The 22,423-nt window shown below is 39.0% G+C and overlaps 1 protein-coding gene across 4 annotated transcripts in view, besides 4 other annotated features; it reads left to right on the top strand.

The window, feature by feature from the left end:
* Positions 89–22,423, top strand: part of KPNA1 (karyopherin subunit alpha 1) — a 93,038-nt gene continuing 70,703 nt past the window's right edge. For 2 of the 4 annotated variants that reach the window (NR_026698.2, NM_002264.4), the window contains exons 1-2: positions 89–271; positions 18,458–18,591. Coding sequence is in view for 3 of the 4 variants with exons in the window: in NM_002264.4 (NP_002255.3) it covers positions 18,463–18,591 (129 nt within the window). In the remaining variant the exon portion in view is untranslated. The remainder of the gene's footprint in view (positions 272–18,457; positions 18,592–22,423) is intronic. The other 2 variants (XM_005247437.5, XM_024453514.2) reach the window with 2 other exon arrangements.
* Positions 122–811: a silencer, noted in NCBI's record as "silent region_14641". NCBI's record gives its function as "represses an Ori minimal core promoter by ATAC-STARR-seq in GM12878 lymphoblastoid cells {active_cell/tissue: GM12878}" and the evidence as "EXISTENCE:reporter gene assay evidence [ECO:0000049][PMID:35858748]".
* Positions 6,240–6,289: an enhancer, noted in NCBI's record as "active region_20376". NCBI's record gives its function as "activates an Ori minimal core promoter by ATAC-STARR-seq in GM12878 lymphoblastoid cells {active_cell/tissue: GM12878}" and the evidence as "EXISTENCE:reporter gene assay evidence [ECO:0000049][PMID:35858748]".
* Positions 6,450–6,499: an enhancer, noted in NCBI's record as "active region_20375". NCBI's record gives its function as "activates an Ori minimal core promoter by ATAC-STARR-seq in GM12878 lymphoblastoid cells {active_cell/tissue: GM12878}" and the evidence as "EXISTENCE:reporter gene assay evidence [ECO:0000049][PMID:35858748]".
* Positions 17,668–18,867: an enhancer, noted in NCBI's record as "MED14-independent group 3 enhancer chr3:122215008-122216207 (GRCh37/hg19 assembly coordinates)". NCBI's record gives its function as "activates an origin of replication core promoter dependent on BRD2, BRD4, P300/CBP and CDK7 cofactors, and independent of MED14, by STARR-seq in HCT116 cells {active_cell/tissue: HCT116}" and the evidence as "EXISTENCE:reporter gene assay evidence [ECO:0000049][PMID:35650434]".

Below are 22,423 nucleotides of genomic sequence, written 5' to 3'. Positions count from 1 at the left end.
GCGTTACAAGACTACGTCTCCCGGCAGCCTCTGCGACAAGCGCCGGAGGGGCGCGCGTAGGCGCTCGGGCCGGCCCCCGCACGCAGGCGCACTGCGAACGCCGGCTGAGCTGAGTCTCGCTGCTCGGTGCGAGGCGGCGGAGAGCGAGGCCTGGTGAGCACCGCCGAGGCGCGGGCCAGCTCTTCGAGGTTGTGCGCGGGAGTGGCACGGCGGGCGGGCGAGCGAGGGGCTAACTTCAGCGGTGGCACCGGGATCGGTTGCCTTGAGCCTGGTGAGTGCTGGGGCCTTGCGGCCCCGGCCCCTCCCCCTCCCGCCGGCAGATCCGGGCAGTCCCGGAGGGACTCAGGAGAGGCCCTGGGGCGAGGGCGGGTGCCGGCAGGGCCTAGAGCCGGGGTTCCTGGGCCGGACGCTCGCGCCGCGTCCGTGCGTCACGGGCCCGGCTGTCCTAACGGCCACAAGGCCGGCGGAGGAGAGGGTGGGGGTGGGGAGCCCTGGTGTGATCGCCATCGGGAACGCCGGTCGAGGCTAGGCGGGGCGGGGCGGCGTGGCGCGGCGGCGGGGCTGTAAGCGGCGCCGGGGACTGCGGGGCGCCGAGGCAGCGGGCGGAGAGGAGGCGAGCGCGGAGCCTGCGCCGCGGCCGGGCGGCGGGCGGGAGGCGGGGGTGGGCCGCGCAGAGCGCTGTGACAGAGGCAGGAAGGAGCAGGGGTGGCGTGTAAAAATTCTAACCCTGGCAAAAAGGGACCGTCTTGGGAATTCACAAGTTACAGACCGGGTCGGAGCCGGCGGCCCGGAGGGAGGTGGGGGAAGCGGGGGGTGGAGACGGCCGGCTGCAGTTTACCGATGTCATAACAACATGGGCCTGGAGCGGCTGATCGGGGGTGTGGTAATTATAGCAATGACAGAACTTGGTCTGCACGCCGCGTGTGCGATGCGAGGGAAGCAGCGAGGTATCGGATTAAGCTCAAAACGGGAGGAGGAAACAAGGATGACTGGAGTCAAGGAAGTCGTCATGAAGTAATGTTTTAGGATTGGGTCGTGTTCCACTTTTAAATGAAAGCGTTCAAAATATTTGATTTTTAAGGTTTCAACTCAGAACAAACGATTGCCGAGTTTTTGTTTGTATTTTAAAGAGATGGGGTCTCGCTATATTGCCCAGGCTGTACTCCAACTCCTGAGCTCAAACTGTCCTCTTGCCTCAGCTTCCCAAGTAGCTGGGACTAGTCTTGGGCAACCACACCCAGCTCTGCAGAGTATTTTTTTTTCTGAAACGTACTGTCAAGTAATATTAACTTGAATTTCACCCTTTTTTCTTAAATAAACGGTTGCTTAAAAATCTCTATTAGTAGATGAAGTGATTTCCCCCCTCCTGTTTTGTTTTTTTTTTTCTTAAGAGATGGAGTCTTGCTTTGTTTCCCGGGCTGATCTGGAACTCCTGGCCTCAAGGCATCCTCCCTACTAGCTGGAACTACAGGCGGATGCCACCAGCAAGGCTCATTCTCGACATTGTTTTTGTCTTAACTAGCTTTTGCATTTGTAATATTTTGAAAGCAGTACACAAGTTATTTTTCCCTCCTTTTTAAAGATCAAAGAGATGAAAATTTAATTTTTCAAAGGAAAGTAAGAATGAGTTCTGTTGTATTTTTACTGAAATATTCTTGGAAGACACTGTTTTATGGATAGATGAGACGTAAGAGAAAGTAAAGGAATTAACATTTATTGAGTTCTTTTTTCAGGTATTGTGTTAAATGCTTTACATATATTAAAAACATTTGAATCTGAAGTATCTGTTAATTTTTCTATTTTACAGATGAAAGCATTGACAATCAAATGTTAAGTAACTTACCTAAGGTCTTCCAGTTCTTGTTGAGAACAACCTTAGAACCCAAAGTTACTGCCATTTAAATTATTTCTCTCCTTTCATACTTTTTCGTTGTTTTCTTTATTTAATCCGTTCAATCAGCGAATACTTACAGAGTGATCTTCTAGACTTGGGGGGATATAGTCGCGATCAAAACTCACTGTCCCTGTTCTCATGGAATTTATAGTGTAGCAGGGAAAGCTAATATTACAAATATTGACTGCATAACATTTTGTCAGTTATTATAGTTGAGTAGCAACTGTAAAGCACTCTACTAAATAGTAAAGGCAGTTCAAATGGAAGCAGACAACATAAGCCTTGAGGAGTTTACAGTCCTGTAGGGCAACAAAACATACATTTATGAAAACCTAGAATAAACTAAATTAGAAAGGTATCACCTGAAATCACTATACTTGCATTATGGTATTTTTTATTTTATTTATTTATTTTTTTGGATGCTTGCTCTGTTGCCCAGGCTGGGCAGTGACGCGATCTCGGCTTACTGCAGCCTCTGCCTCCCTGGTTCAAGCAGTTCTCCTGCCTGAGACTGCCTGAGTAGCTGGGACTACAGGGGCATGAGGCCACACTCGGCTAATTTTTTGTATTTTAGTAGAGACGGGTGGTTTCACCGTCTTGCCCAGGCTGGTCTCGAACTCCTGAGCTCACGCAATCCGCCCTCCTCGGCCTCCCGAAGTTCTAGGATTACAGGCATGAGCCACCGCGCCCAGCCGCATTATGTTACTTTATAAAGTGGTTCTCGTAGAAGTTTCTTCACAGAACTATGATTTAATATACATCTTATCTAGAGCTGATACTTACCAAAGGGGCCATTAAAAACATCTTTTCTTCATTAATATCTAATGAAGAAATTTCTAATTTATGTATTGGTTCCTATAAAATACAGACCTTAGAGACAAATTCTTCCTAAGACCCCAGTATTAAGCTTTTTTTTTTTAAACTAATGATTGGTTTTATTAGATTATTTTTGTTTTGTAAGCCATCCTGTTTCTCTATACTTTGACTGTCAGGAGTCTCAGAGCTGTGTTCAATTTTTATAATTTTCTTTAGTCTCAACTATGTTAAGAATTATTTTATACGTAACCTGGAATTGCTGTCAGTTGTTTCTTGCATTATTTTCTTTATTCTCTGTTGCTCTCAATGGTCCTTTTACCTTTTCCCTTTTCCCTTTACATTTGAGAATAGGATTATATCTTATTCTTTGCATCTTCAGTGTTTTAGCACAGTGTTTGTTGAATTAATGATAAAATAGAGTTTTAATGATTTATGATGTCTGTGCTTTTAAGTCTACCAGATTGTTTTTAGATGTATGAGTACTGTGTATAAAATCAGTTAAGACCTTTGATTGGTCTTGCAAGTAAAGATGACTGACCTAGTGATAAAGATAACTCCTTGTTTTGTTTTAAGGTATCTTTGTACTTTGCATGGTGTTATGAATTTAGCCATAATAGGGAAGAAAACACTGGAAATGGTAAACAGTTAAATTAGCTGATTTGGGCTGATTTCTGTCTTTTGCTGCAGTAAGCAGGAGATGGCCTGAGGCCAACTGAGGGCCAGATAGGGCCTGCATTAGAAAATTTTGAGGTTGTACATTGGAAGAGTAGGGATGAAGACTGTGGGAATGTATGTTTCTTTCTTTCTTTTTTTTAAAGATGTTACAAACCTACAAAACAACATGAAAAAATGGTTCTGTCCAAGTGTTGTAGACTAATTGGGACAGTTCTTGAAAGCAGGCAGTAATCCAGAATGTGGATAATGGAGATAATCTCCTTCATATTAACAAGAATAATGCTGCCCTTCATATACAAAGATAAGTCTGCTTACTCATCATGATTGTTTTTCCAGCGTGAGGAGGGATATGTGCTGAGTCCATGAGTGCCTATATACTCTGTGAGCAACAAGGCAGGTTGGGGTCAGAATAGGCAGCTTGGGGTCAGAATAGGCAGCTTGGGGTCAGCTAGGGAACAGAAAGACCCGCTGAAAGTACTCTGACATCTATTGATGGGTCAGGTTCTGCATCAGGTGCTTTCACTTACTTGTTCTTGCAAAACCATTTTGAGGAGGTGATTACGTGTGCAAGGTGATTGGGTAACTCGCCTTACTTCACAAAGTAGTGGAGTTGGGATTCAAATAGGGCTGTTTGTACTGTGTTCACATTGATCGTTAAAGATTGGTTTTAGCCGTTCAGTCTCTTTGGCAGAACAAACTAGATGTAGTTTAACACCATGAAATAATACTGAAGATCTAATATAACCGTCGTGAGATTGTTCAAGTTCCTTGTTTTATCAACATTAAAAAAATAAAATTTTGGAATTAGAATACCTGAAAAGCAGCTGTTCCCTGTCCCAGCCTCTGCACTTGAAAAGCTACCATTTTCTTTCTTCTAGCTGTTTCCTCTTGTGTTTGCTTTCATATTTATAAATACAGTGACTTGCTTTTATTGCTATATCATGATATAGCAATTATAGATATTATTGGCTTTCGTCTAAGCAAGATGTTCCTTAGTGTTTCACATATATATTCACCTCACCTGCCATATGCACACACTGTCTCTACCATCCTCCAAATATAGTTATCACAGGTGTGTCTACTAAACCAATATTTAGTGTTTACAATATTGTAACTCTATAAATGTTCACAGCTGACCCATGTAGAGTACTGTGATATCATTTCTTCTCTTAATAAATTTTTGTTTTTCTACAAGTTAGTATTTTTTGTTGTTGTTTGCTTCATTTCCTGAGACAGCTAACCTGGAACCTCTTAATGCAATTAGGACTGGTTACTTTCTAGGCCTATTTCATAGTTGTTATCCAGGGACTTCTCTTTTCATCATCCTTAAACTTCTTTGCCCTCTTTTGTACTGGTTCCCCTGTTTACTGTTTCCTGTATTTTCTTTCTTGGTTTACTTATTTCCTTGGAGTACATTTTTTAGTAGCTTTCTGAGAAAGGATACATGGAAAACAAAAACTTCCTGACATCTTACATGACTGAAAAAAATCTTTATTCTTCCTTCGCATTTGATCAGTAATTTGTCTGGGTATAAAATTCTGAGTTGAAAGTAACTTCTACTTCAAGTTTGCAAGTCATAGTTCTATTGTTTTCTTTCTTCCAGGGTTACTCTTGAAATCCAAAGCCAATCTGATTCTTTGTTTGTATGTGATCTTCCTTTACCCCAATCTCTAGAAGCTTTTAGGATATTTTTAACCCTCAAAATTCCATGATGATGTGTCTAGGTATGGGTATTTTTTTGTTTAAGGGCATTCCATGGACCTTTATAAGCTGGGAGTTCATGTCCTTTAGTTCTCGAAAGTTTTTGTTATTATTTGGATGTTAGGCAAAAAGAATTTTAGAATGAATTATGCTTCTCAGTTCTTGTCACACATCAGATCGTACAAGGTCCTTTAAATTTTTATCTTAAATTTCTGAGCCCTACTTCTGTTACCTCTTTGTATAACATTGTGGTTGGTACATTCCTTGATTATATATGAAACATTGTAAAATATGTAGTGGAGCTGTGTATGTTTAGGTATTGTGTTATAGACCTTGCAAAGGTCTTTTTCTTTTTTATTCAACATTGATTTGGGGATCTTTCTGTTTTGTTGTAAGTATGTATAGTTGTGTCTAATGTAGAATTCTGTAATGCAGATCTACCACATTTTACTTTTCATTCCCTAGGAATTGATCCCTGAGTTGCCTTTCTGCTATTTCAAATACCCTGTGTTATATATACTCTTGTACATTATTATAGACCTGTATAGAAGTTCTCTAGGATATATACCCAAGATTGTGATTCCTTGGGCATAGAGTGGGAGAATTAGTGTATGTGCCTACTTGAGTGCTTGAGAGTTCTTTTTTGCTCACATGTTTGCCTTTACTTGGTTTTATCTTTCTTTTTTTTTTTTTTGTTTGATAGAGAGTCTTGTTCAGTTGCCCAAGTGAGTGCAGTGGCATGATCTTGGCTCACCGCAACCTCTGCCTCCTGGGCTTAAGCCATTGTTCTGACTCAGCCTCACGAGTAGCTGGGTTTACAGGGGCCCGCCACTACGCCTGGCTAATTTTTGTATTTTTAGTAGATACGGGGTTTCACCATGTTGGCCAGGCTGGTCTTGAACTCCTGACCTCAAGTGATCCACCCTCCTCGGCTTCCCAAAGTGCTGGGATTACAGGCGTGAGCTACCGCGTCCAGCCTCTCATTCTTATTTTATAGTATATTTGTGTTGTTTCATAGATGCTGTATTCTTTCTGGGGATATTAATGATAGTTTTAAAAATTTTGTTACCATTGTTGTCTTTTCTTTATTGAGGCTTTCCCCAGATGTCTGGTAGTCTTGTGGCTGTCCATTCATATTTAAGAATGAAGTGCCAAAAACTGAATTGGAAGCTCTATTAAGTGTGGCTTGTTGAAGGGTGAAGAGAGTAGCTGGTGGCCATTTTTTTTGTGGTGGGTGGAGGGCATATACTCATAGGTTTGTTTCTCTTGGGCTAGTCAGTTTCCCTGAGAGTCTCCAGTCTCTTGCCAGGAGAATGTGTGTCTGGCTGCCATGTTTTGAGAACTCATTTTAGAAAAGGAGCTTGGGTTTTTACTGTTGTGCTCATGTAATTCTGTTATCAATAAGGCACCTCACCCCCACCCTCACCTGCATTGGAGCACCCATTTGAAGGGATTACTGAAGGATGGTTGTCTGGTTGTGAAGAGTGGAGGAGGAAATCTGGGCATGTGATGGCTGTTTTGTAGACTTTCAACAAACCTTCTGATTTTGAGCCCAACTCCTCACTACCTTAAGGAGGGATAGTACCTGGATGATCTGTCTGAAGCATCCTGTTTGTGGGTAGGTAGTGTGAATCAGCTTGTTTCTTATTGCCTTCTTCGTTTGCAGGTTAGGCTTCAGAGTTTTCCACTTTGCTAGTGACATATAATTTGTCTATTTTATGGCTTCTTTTAGGTTTTGACACCATCTCTGATTCTTTTGCTTACCTATTCTCTTTATGCCGTGGTTCTGGTTCATTTATTTGAAAAAAAAATTTCTTTATAATTTTAGTATTCTACCATGTCTACCATTTTATTTCTTTACATAAACTCTTTGTTTTCTCCTCTGTTCATTTTTTCACAGCATTTGAATGACCACTGTGTGCCTATTGAAGATTAAAATTGAATTTCTGGCTTTGAGTTAATATGATATGGGAAGAAAAGTGCAGTCTATATGTGCTAATTCCTGATTTGAAATTTGAAAACCCTCATAAGTGTTCTTAAAACAGATATATTACAGTGGTTATTAAATTCATTAATGGATATGAATTGAATGAAGGCAAGTTTTTGCGATTAAAAATTTTTTTACTACTGAGGGAACGAACCCTTTATGTCATCTTCTGGAAAGATTTGTCTTTTTTTTTTTTTAACCCCCCAAAAAATCATTCAACTTTTAGATAAGAGATAATTTTTCTCCTTCATAAAGACCATAAAGATCAGAACTTCTGAAGAAATAACAGCATACTCAGTTGAAAAAATAGTAGTGAAAAGTATAGAAATTCAGTGTTTTAGGTAGGTTGATAAGCTTTATCATAGTAAACATATGCTTTCAGCTCTACTTTTTGAAAGTTTTTTTCTTGTATAATCAGTATATTGCTTATCACAGAAAATTTGGAAGATAAAATAATATTTCCATATTCAAATTTTATATGCTGATATCTTCTCTTTTCTTTTTTTTTTTTTTTGAGATGGAGTCTTGCTCTGTCGCCCAGGCTGGAGTGCAATGGCACAATCTCAGCTCACTGCAACCTCTGCCATCTGGGTTCAAGTGATTCTCCTGCCTCAACCTCCCGAGTAGCTGGGATTGCAAGCGCCCGCCACCACGCCCGGCTAATTTTTGTATTTTTAATAGAAATGGGGTTTCCCCATGTTGGCCAGGCTGGTCTCGAACTCCTGACCTCTGGTGATCCGCCCGCCTTGGCCTCCCAAAGTGCTGGGATTACAGGTGTGAACTACTGCGCCCAGCTATATTCTGATTTCTTAAGTTACGAAATATTTTTCGAAAGTATAGAGAATAGTGTAGGTTGGGTTTTTGTTCCCAGCATTCAGATTTTTCATGTTAGTGTTCTGTTTTCTCAATACATTGTGAACATTTCCTTTAACCAAGCCCTCATATTGGAACTTTTAGGTTTTTTACAATTTTTCACTAGAATAATCACACTGCAGTGAACAGTCTTACACATACTACTAGTTTTGTTTCCTTTATGTACATTCTAAAAGTGGAAGTATTCAATTCAGGGTTTGAGTTCTCCAGATCCTTGACAGATATTTTCCTTTAAGTGTTTTGATATTGAGAATGTCTTTGGAGAACTTCCCAGCTTGGGAACCTATAGATACTGGGAGTTGGGGGTCAGAATTTGGGGCAAAGGTTATGATAAACCTCTCAAAGGAAAACATTTGAAACTGGGCTGTGAAAGAAAATATGTATTGCCATTGGATTATTGGTTAGAGCTATAAGATGAGGCCAGAGATGAACACCTATGAATCATATGTCTGCCACATTGACTTCTCACAGGAAAAGCTTTATTGAAGGGTTTTTCAAACTTTGCTTTCATTGAACACTGAAATGCTCTTAATAAAAATAAAGCTACTCCTTAATTATCGTATAGGAAAAGAATGGGTAGGATATTTCAAATTTTAATTTTCTTTTCTAATTTCTATTAAAATATTTTAAACGGACCTACTATCGTTTGACTAGAAGCTGTTAACATCAATAATTTATATTTTCAAATGAACTGAACACTTTATACTTATACTCCACTTATTTAAATTCATAACTTTTTTGTAGTCATACTTTCTTGTAGTTTTGGTTTTTAATAGTAAATGCATATCATATACTTTCTAATAAAATTATGCCTGATTTATATGGTGGAATTAAGTATATTAGGATTTCAAGTTGTTCCACAAGAGTATTATGGATTTTAAATATTCAGAACATTTAGAATGTGTTTGAGATTTACTGATTAGGTGGGCTGACCCAGTGCACTGAATATATAACATCTTGAATATAATAAAAATATAAAAAGATCTACACTCATTGTTTTGGGTTTAGAGTGGTGGAGAATGGTATTGAATGAATCCAGACAAAAGGATCTTGCAGGACCAAGAAGTTTAGACTTGTTCTAAGAAGTGGTTAAAAACGTTGTAGTTCCTTATCCATTGAAGTGATACAGTGAAAAGGGTGTTGAGATTAATCTGAGGGCTGTGTAGGATGAATTGAGGAGCAAAGAGTCTGAGGTTAAGAATGCTGGTTTAGAGCTGTTGTAGTTATCTAGGTGTCAGTTGACACAGACTTGAGCCAGGCTGGTGGCAGTGGGAATAGATCGGATCAGATAAAATCAAAGACTTTGGATAGAATAAGCAAAATTTGATAATTGAGTAACTAGACATGAAGGAGAAAGTGAGGGGATCTGTCTTTGAAAGAGTGTGTTTCTATTTCACCACCAGTATTGCATCTTGTTTTTAAGTTTATTGCTTCTTTGGCTTTATTTCTCTAGAAAACAAGAGGAAATTTAGGTATAATGGCTTTAATTTTGAAGGCTTCTGATTCCTGAGAGGGTACTTTGAAAAGTAACTTACAATTTTTAATTAGTAGCTTAGGTGATAACACCTAAAAATATTTGCTTAGGATAAACTAATTTTCTCATACAATTACTTTGTTATTCCTCTTATTACAGACATAGAGATTTATTTCCTTTCTTTCCTATCAAAGCTATCTTCAGTCCAACTTCAGCCTTCATTTTCAACTGTATTTTACATTGTTTTAAAATAAAACTTTTGCTCTACTATAGTGATTTTCAACTGCAGATGCATATCAGAATTTGCTTGGATTTTTTTTTTTTTTTTTTTTTGAGGCATGCAGTGGTACAATCCTGGCTCACTGCAACTTCTGCCTCCCGGGTTCAAGCCATACTTATGCCTCATCCTCCCAAGTACCTGGACTCACAGGTGCATGCCACTATGCTGGCTAATTTTTGTATTTTTAGTAGAGGCGGGGTTTCACCATGTTGGCCAGGCTGGTCTCGAACTCCTGACCTCAAGTGATCTGCCCGCCCCTTGGCCTCCCAAAGTGATGGGATTACTGGTGTGAGCCACTGTGCCTGGCCCACTTGGGGATCTTAAAAGGAAGAAAAACCCAGAGGTGTCTGTCTGCTTCAGACACATTAATTAGACTCTTTAGAGGGACATTTGAGGCTTGTGTTTAAAAAAAAAAAGAGTCTCTCCCAACAGAACAAATGTAATCCCCTCTCCATCCTAAGAGGGGGCAACGAATCTCATTTATGGATACTGATGAGATATTTATGTTTTAAAAAATCTCTCTCTCTCTCTCACCCAAAGTCTAAATGCATCCATTGAAGTAATAGAGTGAAAGGAGTGAAACTTAAAAATCTCACCAGTATCCATAAATGAGATTGGTTGTCCCCTCTTGGGGTGGGAAGTCTAAATACACACATACATGCGTGTGCGCAGACACACGCACACACACACAGACAGTTTCTTAGAGCAGTTTTGGGTTCATAGCAAAATTGAATGGAAAGTACAGGGTTTCCGTCAACCCCTTGCCCCCACATGAATATAGACTCTCCCACCATCAACATTGCACAAGCTCCAGAATGGCTCATTTGTTACAAGTAATGCTGTAGACTGAATGTTTATGTCCCCTTACGATTCATGTGTTGAACCCAATCTCCAGTATGGTGGTGTTTGAAGATGAGGCCTTTGGGTGATGAAAATGGAGCCCTCATGAATGGAATTAGTGCCCTTACACGAGATCACAGAGAGCTCCTTAGCCCCTTCTGCTATGTGAATACACAGTGAAAAAAATGGTCATCTGTGAACCAGGAGGTGGGTCCTCACCAGATACTGAATTAGCCAGGGTCTTGATTTGGACTTTCCAGCCTCTAGAACTGTGAGAAATAAATTTCTATTGTTTATAAGACACCCAGTTGATGGTGTTTTGTTACAGTAGCCTGATCAAGCTAAAACAATTGATGAACCAACATTGGCACATCATCCTCACTCTAAGTCCATGGTTTACATTATGGTTCATTCTTAGTGTTGTACATTCTTTGGGTTTTGACAAATGTGTAATAGCATGCATTAACTACTATTGTATCATACAGAATAGTTTTCCTGCCCTAGAATTCTTCTGTGTTCCACCTGTTAATCCTGCCTTCCCCCAAAACACCCAGCAGCCACTGGGTTTTTTGTTTGTTTGTTTCTGGTTTTACCTCTTCCAGAATGTCATATAATTGGAATCATACCCGTGTTTTTTTTCAAACAGCTCTCAGTGTGACAAATATAACAAATAGAATTGGAAAGGGGTAATACACACCATCACCAAGTGTGTTTATCCAAAGAAACAGGATCATTTGGTATTAGAAAGTCTATTAATATAATTCACCATATTTAATAGTTCAAAAGAGAAAAAATAATGACCATTTCAGTAACTCCCAAGTATAAACTATACAAGGGCCAGACAGTGGGAAGTATGCTTTTACATGTTCTTCACCTTATGAGGTATCATTATGTCCATTGTACAGATGAGGAAACAGGCTCACAGAAGTCTACTGTCTTCTGTATGTGATTGGTCTGCAAAGCAAATTTGAACATGGGACTTGTGGAAGGCTAGGCTTCATTTATTCAACTTGCTGCCTATGACACTTTAATAAAAAAGCAGTTGAATATTTAATTTTTGCGTAACATTTCTTTCCTTTTAGATTTTTTAAAAAGTTTGGAATCATTTCAAACTACAAAAACGTTTTAAGAAGTGCACGAGACTTCCTATATGCCTTCATTGACATTTCTCAATTGTTTATCTTTTGCCTTATTTATCATTTATTCTTTCTTTCTTTATATATATATATATGTATGCATGCTTCCAACACTGGCTTTAATTGCTTACCCTTACAACTCCACATTGAATACAGACCTCTAAGTTACTTCCTTAAGTCTAATTTTAGGTTTTTGGTTTTGTTGGAGTTTACTGTTGGCTTTTTCCTTTTTTTGACCTGAAACTGAAACTTAACGAATCTTTTTTTTTGTTTTGAGATGGGATTTTGCTCAGTGGTGCGATCTTGGCTCACTGCAGCCTTGACCTCCCAGGCTCAAGTGATGCTCCCATCTCAGCCTCCCAAGTAGCTGGGACCACAGGTGCCTGCCACCATGCCTGTCTAATTTTTTTGTATTTTTTGTGGAGACAGGGTCGCTACAAAACTCGGCTCAAGTGATCCTCCCACCTTGGCCTCCCAAAGTGCTGGGAATACAGGCGTGAACTACCGCGTCCCACTCAGATTTTGAATTTGGGACATCATTGCAACACTACTATTATTGTGCCATATTGTGATATTTCATAGCTAAAATGCTGCCTGCTTCAGGAAACCAGCACTCTTCTTTATATCATTTTTCATCACCTTTAAATATGATTCCCTTGGAATTATTCACAAGTTCTCATCCGTATTACACCCACCTTTTAGTCTGATAAAGTTTCTGCCAGATTTCCACTGAGTAGACATATTAATCTGCTCAGGCTACCATAACAAAATACTGCAGACTGTGTGGCTTAAGCAGAAATTTATTTTCTCACAGTTCTGAAGGCTAGAATTCCAGATCAAGGTGCCAGCAGAGTTGATTTCTGGGCACTCTTTTGCTTGCAGACAGCTGCATTCTTGTCTTCTTATGTAGCCTTTCTCTGTATCTCTCAGAGAAGTCTCTAGTGTCTCATTCTGTTATAACGACACCAGTCTTATCAGGGTGGGACCCTCATGACCTCATTTAACTCTGCCTCCTAAAAGGCACTATAACAAAATACAAGTCACACTGGTGGTTAGGGTGTCAACATAAGAGTTTTGAGGGGACGGCACAATTCAGTCTCTCTCAGTAGATCACTGGGTGTATAATGAGACCTGTGTTCATATCCTAGCTCTATCTTGTATTTAGTGTGTAACCCTGGCCAAGTCACTCTGTGAGCCTTCTGATTCCTTATCTGTAAAAGGTGAGAATGATATTTTTTGCCATAAAGGTTTGTTAAGAGATCCAAATAAAATAGAAGATGTGGTAGCATGTTATAAATTAGTGATTCTCAACCCAGGTTTGCATCAAAATCATGTTCGTATATGTAATTATTTATGCAGCTTTTAGCATAATAAGGAGCTCTGCTGACCCACTACCCAGTAAACTTAGGGTAAAGTATTTCAAAAACAACCATGGAAAGCCTCTGGAAATGGTCCTAGGATATATGCAGTAAATGAATGAGAGAAGCAAAAACTGACAGAAACAGAGAATTCAGTAATAAGAGTTGGAGGCTTTAGTACCCCACTTTCAGTAGAGGACAGAACAACTTGGTGGAAGGTCAAGAAGGAATCAGTACAATAAACCCACTAGACCTAACTGACATGTATAGACCACACTACCAGCCAGCAGCAGTCAAAAATATGTATTTTCAAATAGAAATATGTATATCCTGGAAATATGTGTTTTCCAGGATAGCAAGTGTTATGTGTGCATTTTGCTGGGCTACAAAACAAGCTAGATAAATTTTAAAAGGATCCTGTTCTTTGATCACAATGGAAAGAAATTAGATCAGTAACAGGAGGAAATTTGAGAAACTCACCAATATGTGTAAGTTAAAGAACATACTCCTAAATAACTGATGGGTCCATGAAGAAATCAAAAAGGAAATCAGAAAACACTTTGGGATAAATGAAAATGAAGACATCGTGTAGGAATACTTAGGGATACAGCTAAAGCAGTGCTTAAAGGGAAACTTAGTTGTGAATGCCTTTGTTAAAGAAGAAAGGATGCTGGGCGTGGTGGCTTACACCTGTAATCCCAGCACTTCAGGACGCGGAGGTGGGTGGATCACTTGAGGTCAGGAGTTGACCAGCCTGGCCAACATGGTGAAACCTCGACTCTACTAAAAATACAAAAATTAGCTGGGTGTGATGGCAGTCGCCTGTAACCCTAGCTACTTGGAAGGCTGAGGCAGGAGAATCACTTGAACCTGGGAGGCAGAGATTGCAGTGAGCCGAGATCATGCCACTGCCCTTCAGCTTGGGCAATAGAGTGAGACTCTGTCTCAAAAAAAAAAAAAAAAGGAAAGAAAAGAAAAGAAGAAAGATCTCAAATCAGTAACCTAACTTTCCACTTTAAGTGACTGAGTTAAGAAGAGCAGAGTAAACCTAAAGCAAGCAGAAGGAAGCAAATAAAGAGTAGAGTGAAAATTAATGACATAGAGAATAGGAAAACAATAGAGAGCATTAAAGATGAATAAAATTGACAAACTTTTAGCTAGATTGAGAAAAACTCAACATTTTTCAGATTTCCTGGGCACAGTGGCATATGCTTGTAATCTCAGCACTTTGAGAGGCCAAGACAGGAGGATCACTTGAGCCCAGGAGTTCGAGACCAGTTGCCCACATGGTGAGACCCTATCTCTATCCCCCTAGCCCCCCAGCCCAATATATAATAATAATCTGGGCATGCACCTGTAGTCCCAGATACTTGGGAGGCTGAGGTGGGAGGATTGCTTGAGCTGGGAGGTTGATGCTACAGTGAGCCATGATTGTGCCACTGTACTCTCCAGCCTGGGCAACAGAGAGAGAGAGTATCTGGGGGAAAAAAAAAATTAGAAATGAAAGAGGAGACATTACTAGTGACCTTGTAAAAATTAGTAAGGTTATAAAGAAATACTGTTAACAGTTGTGGCTGGGTATGGTAGCTCATGCCTATAATCCCAGCACTTTGGGAGGCAGAGGCGGGTGGATCTTCTGAGGTCAGGAGTTTGAGTCCAGCCTGGCCAACATGGTGAAACGCTGTCTCTACTAAAAATACAAAAAGTAGCCAGGCGTGGTGGTGCATGCCTATAATCCCAGCTACTCAGGAGGCTGAGGCAGGAGAATGGCTTGAACCTGAGAGACAGAAGTTGCAGTGAGCCGAGATTACGCCACTGCACTCCAGCCTGGGCAACAGAGTGAGACTCCATCTCAAAACAACAACAACAACAACAACAAAAAAACAGTTGTATCCCAGTAAATAAAATGGTTTAGATGAAGTGCACAAATTTTTGGAAAGACAAAAACTACCAAAACTGACTCAATAAGAGGAACAGACAATCTGAATAGACCTGTAACACGTGAAGACACTGAAATAGTAGTCACAGAACTGCCCGCAAAGAAACAGCCTAGGCCCATATGGCTTTACTGCTGAATTTTACCAAACATTTAAAGAAATAATATAATTCTTGACAAAATCTTCCTGGGGAATACTTTCCAACTCATTTTATGAAGCTGGTATCACTCTGATACCAAAGCCAGACAAAGACATCACAAGAAAATATAAACCCGTCTCTTTTTTTTTTTTTTTCTTGAAGAGACAGGGTTTCACTGTCACCCAGGCTGGAGTACAGTGGTGTGATCATGGCTCACTGCAGCCTGCAACTGCTGGACTCAAGCCATCCTGCTGCTTCAGCCTCCTGAGTACCTGGAACTACAGGTGCACACCACCAGCCTGTCTGATTTTTATTTTTTAAATTTTTTGTAGAGATGGAGTCTCACCATGTTGCCCAGTCTGATCTTGAACTCCTGGCTTCAAGTGATACTCCCGCCTTAACCTCCCAAAATGCTAGAATTACAGACATGAGCCACTCTACCCGTCCCTTGTCTGTTAAAAAAAAAGAAAAAAAAATCACATTGTGATATCAATAGACACAGAAAAAGCATTTGACAGAATCTGACACTCTTTAATTATAAAACAGTCAACTAGGAATAAGAGGGAACTTCTCAGCCCGATAAAAGTGCCTTTACAGAAAATCCAAAGGTAACATCATGCTTAATGTAAAAGACTGCTTTCATTCTAAGGTCTAGCATAAGACAGGGGTGTCTGCTCTATTTCTATTCAACATTGTATTGGAGGCTCTAGCCAGGGAAGTTAGACAAGAAAAAGAAGTAAAAGACATCAAAATTGGAAAGGGAGAAGTAAAGCTATATTGTAGACGACATGATGTGTATCAAATAAAGCATTAGCACCAATTAAACAAGTTCAGCAGGATTGTAAAATACAAGATCAGTATACAAAAATCAGTTATATTTTTCTAGATTTGTGAACAGTCTGAGAATTAAAACAATTTCATTTCCAATGGTATAAAAATTAAATACTTAGGAATGAATTTAACAAAAGTATAAAACATATTCTGAAAGCTACATTACATTATAGACAGAAATTAAGATCTAAATAGAGCTCCTATCTTAAATAAGTGGAAGATTTAGCATTAAGGTGCCGGTATTTCCCAAACTGATCTACAGACAGTGCAGTCTCTTATCAGAATCATAGCTGACTTCTTCATAGAAATTGACAAACTGATTCTAAAGTTCATATGGAATTGCAAGGGATCAATTATAGCCAAAACAATCTTGAAAAAAGAACCAAAAAAGTAAGAAGACTGACATTTTTCGAGTTCAAAACTTATTTTGAAGCAATGGTAACCAAGACAGTGTGGGGCTGACACAGGGATACACATATAGATCAGTGGAATAGAATTGAATGTCAAGAAATTAAACTATATATATGTATATAGTCAGCTGGTTGTCAGCAAGGTGCTGTCATGGTCCGTTTGGGTTGCTGTAATGAAATACCAGAGACTAGGTGGCTAACAGACAATAGAAATTTGTTTCTCACAGTTCTGGATGCTGGGAAGTCCAAGATCAAGGCACTGGCAGATTCAGTGTCTGGTGAGAGCCTGCTTCCTTGTTTACAGATGCCTTATCTTTTCTCTGTGTCCTCACATGGCTGAAGGAGCAAGCAAACTCTTTGGGGGGTCTCTTTTTAAGGGCTTTAATCCTATTCATATGGACTCTACCACTAAGGGCTAATCATCTCTCAAAGGCTTCACCTTCAAACACTATCACATTGGGAGTTAGGATTTAACATATGAATTTTGGGTGAGACACACATTCAGTCTATAGCAGGTGCCAAGACCATTCTGTGGAGAAAGAGGAGTCTTTTCAACAAGTATTGTTGGGACAGCTGGATAGACACATGCAAAAAAATGAGGTTGGACTCTCATACCATGCTACAAAGAAAAATTAACTCAAAATGGATCACAGACTTAAATGTATCAGTTAAAACTCTTGGAAAGAAACACAAGGTTAAGGATTCTTGGATATGACACCAAAAGCATGAACAACAACAACAGCAAAAAACAGATTAATTTGGACTTCATCAAAATTAAAACTTCTGTGTTTTAAAGGACACCAAGAAAGTGAAAAGACAGTCTATAGATTATATTTGAAAAGCATATCTGATAAGGGACCTTTATCTAGAATGTAAAAAGAACTCTTACAACTCAATAATAAAAGGACAACCTAATTTAAAAATGGGCTAAGGCACTTGAATAGACTTCATTTTAATGGGAGATACACAGTTACCAAATACGTATGTGAAAAGTTGCTCTATCTCATTAGTCATCAGGGGATTGCAAACCAAAACCACAATGAGTTGCCACTCACACCCACTAGGATGGTTTCAATGAAAGTTTTAATAGCAAAGTGCTGGCAAGGATGTGGAGATACTGCAAGCCTCATATGCTGCTGAGGGGAATATAAAATGGCACAGCCACTTTGGAAAAACAGTTGAGCAGTTTCTTAAGCAATTAAACATAGTTACCATATGACCTAGCAATTTTAGATATATAACCCAGAGAAATTAAAACATATCTGTGTAAAACTTGACCACAAATGTTGTAGAAGTGTTATTCATAATAGCTGAAAGGTGGAAACATTCCAAATGTCCATTAGCTGGCGAATGGATAAATAGAATTGGGTATATATATAGAATGGAATATTATTCAGCCATAAAAAGAAATGAAGTACTGATATATGCTACAACATGGATGAACCTTGAAAACATGCTAAGTGAAAGAAGCCAGTCACAAAATACTGCATATTATATGATTCTGTTCTGTTCATGTGAAATGTCCAGAATAGGGATGATAGCTTAAACAATACAGGATTTCTTTTTGAGGTGATTAAAATGTCCCAAAATTCACTATGATGAAGGTTGTACAAGCTGTAAATACACTAAAAACTGTTGAATAGCACATTTTAATAAAACTGTTAAAGTAACCTGGCCAGGTGAAGTGGCTCACGCCTGAAATCCCAGCCCTTTGGGAGGCCAAGGTTGGGGGATCACTTGAAGCTAGGAGTTCAAGACCAGCCTGGGCAACATGATCAGACCCTGTCTCTACAAAAAATAAAAAAATTCTCTGGGCATGGTGGCATGCACCTGTGGTCCCAGCTACTCAGGAAACTGAAGTGGGAGGATTGCTTGAACCCAGGAATTTGAGGCTACAGTGAGCTATGATTGCACCACTGTACTCCAGTCCGGGTGGACAGAGCAAGACCTTGTCTCAAAAAAGACAGGAGTGGGGGAGGGGAAGTAGCCATTTCTGATGTCCCTTTGGGATATGTCTGGGCATGTATATGTTTAAAAGACTGAGCTCTTAGAATAACAGAGCTCTTCACAGTAAACTCATTTGTTCTCTCCCCACTTGTATTGTAGAAATCATGACCACCCCAGGAAAAGAGAACTTTCGCCTGAAAAGTTACAAGAACAAATCTCTGAATCCCGATGAGATGCGCAGGAGGAGGGAGGAAGAAGGACTGCAGTTACGAAAGCAGAAAAGAGAAGAGCAGGTAAATCCTTTACCTTTATTCATTTCTTTTAAAGAATTTAATGTTCCATTTTAAGCCTGAAACTATCTTCATTTTAGCAAAGTTGGGGTGTGTGTGTGTGTGTGTGTGTGTGTGTGTTTTCCCCTTCTCCCCTGTAAAATCAACACTTTTTTGGAGTGGGGATGAGGAGGTACTGAAAAGTGGTATACAAGAATGGGGAAATCTCTCAGGTTCTCATTTTCTCAGCATAACTACACTATTCAATATTTTCACCTATTTGTGTTTAGTGTATTTTAGTTTTCTAAGGGTGCAACTTTCTTCTTTAAGATTTTTTTGATGTATGTTTGTTAATTAATTCACAAGTGACCACTAAAGTGTTGCTGTTCATTGTAAACTTAAAATTGGAAATGTAAAAATATACACAAAAAGAAAGAATAAACCTCATACATAAACCAGTCCTTTGGATTCAGTAATTGTCAACAGTTTGCTACACTTGCTTCGTGTTTGTCTTTACATTTCTTTGTTATCTAACATTTTAAAGTAAAATTTCATTCACAGAATATGTCTTTTTATTCCAGATTAATTCTGTATTATTCATAAAGACATTTAGAACATTGATTTTTTTTTTTTAAGCCTTCCTTTGAAAATGCTGTTGACAAATGGTCTGTTACATTCGGCAAAGAAATGAAAAGACATAAGGCTTAAGTGACTTTTTTTTTTTTTTTTTTTTTGCTAAGGAGAGACTTTGGAGCCTGAAGGACCATTTGACCCTCACTATAGAAATTCCATAAAGGCAGATGAATTAGAACCCTCATGCTTGAGAAATAAGATATTCTATTATAAATATTTTGCAGTTATAGTGAAATATTCTCAAAACACATTTTATGAAACACTGCGTTAGATAATCCATTTAGGTGAAGTCCAACAGTACATTACAACCTCAGTATTTTATTTGTTAGAGTTGTATGAATCAAGCACTTTATTATTGGCAAAGGTATTTTGTAATATTGTAATAGACTTTATATTGAGTGCAGCAAATTAAGTTATGAGTTCTTGACCTGCTTTATCATCTTTGAATGTATCCACTTAATTTTCTCTTATTTATTTTTTGAACTGAAAATGGATCCTTTTCTTTCACAGAGCTTTTAAATTAGTTCTGTTTTTTGGGTGAATTTCCTTTTCTTTTTTTTTTTTTGGTTTGTTTGAGGCAGAGTCTCGCTCTGTGGCCAGGCTGGAATGGAGTATGGTGGCGTGATCTTGGCTCGCTGCAACCTCCACCTCCCAGGTTCAAGCGATTCTCCTGTCTCAGCCTCCTGAGTAGCTGGGACTACAGGCGCGTGCCACCACACCCAGCTAATTTTTGTATTTTTAGTAGAGACAGGGTTTCACCATCTTGGCCAGGATGGTCTTGATCTCTTGTCCTCGTGATCTGCCTGCCTCAGCCTCCCAAAGTGCTGGGATTACAGGAATTTCCTTTCCTTTTATTCTCAGAAATCTTAACAGCATGATTATATATTTATATTCATATATTTAAGTGGAATACATGTATGATACATGTGAACCCAGGTAGGTATAGGTCTGAATATAACCACCAGTCTAGGGATCGTATTTGGCATAACACCATTTGAAGGTGTAGCAGTGGCACTCTTTGATTAACACGATGTTCATTTTATTCTGTTTCTTCTTGGTGACTACTGATTTCATGTAATTAAACTTCATTATAAAATTTATATACTACCGAAAGCAATCTACAGATTCAGTGCAATTTCTGTCCAATTACCAGTGTCATTCTTCACAGAATAAGAAAAAACAATCCTAGGATTCATACAGAACCAAAAAAGAGCCCCAATTGCCAAAGCCATCTTAAGCAAAATATAAAGCTGGAGGTATCACATTACCTGATGTAAAATTATACTACAAGGTTATAGTAATTGAAAACAGCACAGTACTGGTATAAAAGTAGACATATAAGTCAATGGAATGGAATAGAGAGTCCAGAAATAAAGCCCCATACTGTCAACCAACTGATCTTTGACAAAGTTGGCAAAAGTATATACTGGGGAAAGGATACCCTATTCAATGAATAGTGCTGGGAAAATTGGAGAGCTGTGTGCAAAAGAATGAAACTGTACCCCTACCATATACAAAAATTAACTCAAGATGGATTCAATAATTAAATGTATAACCTGAAACTATAAAAATCCTAGAAGAAAACCTGGGAAAAACTCTTCTGGACATTGGTCTAAGCAAAGAATTTATGAGTAAGTCCTCAAAAGGAAACAAAACCAAAAATAGATAAATGGGACTTAAACTAAAAAGCTTTTGCACAGCAAAAGCAATAATGTATTTAACAGACAACCTACAGAATGGGAGAAAGTATTTGTTAACACTATCTGACAAAGTTCTAATGTTCAGAATCTACAAGGAACTCAAACAACAAGAAAAAAACAACTCCATTAAAACGTGGGCACAGGACATGAAAAGATACTTCTCAAAAGAAGACATACAAGTGGCCATGAAAAAAGGGTCGACATCACTAATTATCAAATAAATAAAAGTTAAAACTATAATGAGGCTGGGCGGGGTGGCTCATGCCTGTAATCCCAGCACTTTGGGAGGCCGGGGTGGGCAGATCACCTGAGATCAGGAGTTCGAGACCAGCCTGGCCAAGATGGTGAAATCCCGTCTCTACTAAAAATATAAAATTTAGCCAGTGTGGTGATAGGGTAAAGGAGGGCACTTTCAGTATAAGACTATGTTCTTGGGAATTTTCCTGTGTTAATTCATTGAGAAGCTCCTTCCTTCCTCATATCCTGTAAGTCAAATGTTGGATTTACCAGGCTGGTTTTCTTAATTTTCTCTTTTTCAAACCGTGCCCTTGTTCTGCTGCCTCACCACAGCTTTCCGTTACAGCTCAATTAAGAAAAATTCCTGAGGCTTTCCAAGGCTCTTTGTGGTTTGTGGGCTTGCTTCTCAACAGTATATCCCTCCATAGGCTCTTAGGTTTGATCTTCCTCCACTCTAACTCGTATATTGTTTCTCAATCTGTTTTTCCATTGTTGTAGATATGGCTGGGAGCTACACATACTGTTTTTTTTTTTTTCTTGTCCCTTTTATCATTGTGGGGTAGTATTTCTGAGACTAAAAGGATGGGAAGGCCTGATTCTACTATTTTTAATCTGTATGTCTCATTGTATAAGGTAGATTATTATGTTGATTAGTTTACAACTGGCATGAAAATTTTATTGACCTTGGGAAGAAAAACTATAATATGTTTTAATCCTGTTGTGAATAGAGCTGGACAGTTCTAGAATAGTGTAGTGGATTAATGATGAAGTATTGATGATAACAGTTAACTGTTGAGTGTTTGTTATGTCAGGTACTATTTTAAGCACTTAATGAATTAACCTTTCTAATCATCTCAACCAAACTCTGAGGTAGGTTATTATTTTCTGATATGTTATAGTTACACAATAATTGTGAATGTCTTTAAGTATCTGATTATGGACAAGATAAAGCATATGTATATAAAAACACTGAAATGGATAGAAAATAAATTCATAGCATTACTGGTCCTTTATCCGAAGCTCAGCTAAGTGGTTACAGCAGTTCAGTGTGAATGACCATTGCCGTAAAGAATAATAGCCTTTTTCTCTGGAAAGAACCTTTGCAATAATCTAGACCAGCAATGTTAAAATTATGTTCTGTGGAGCTTTGAGGCTCTGAGTTGAGTCTCCTGCTGCTTCTGTTCCCCCATGAAACGTTTGAAAATGGTTGAGCTATGCTGTCCAATATGAGATAGTCACTAGCTACAGTTAGCTATTGAGCATTTAATATGTGGCTAATTCAAATT

Source organism: Homo sapiens, chromosome 3 (assembly GCF_000001405.40).
Source record: "Homo sapiens chromosome 3, GRCh38.p14 Primary Assembly".
Lineage (NCBI taxonomy): Eukaryota > Metazoa > Chordata > Mammalia > Primates > Hominidae > Homo > Homo sapiens.
The sequence above is the reverse complement of the archived record's forward strand: the minus strand, read 5'-3'. Positions and strand labels throughout refer to the sequence as shown.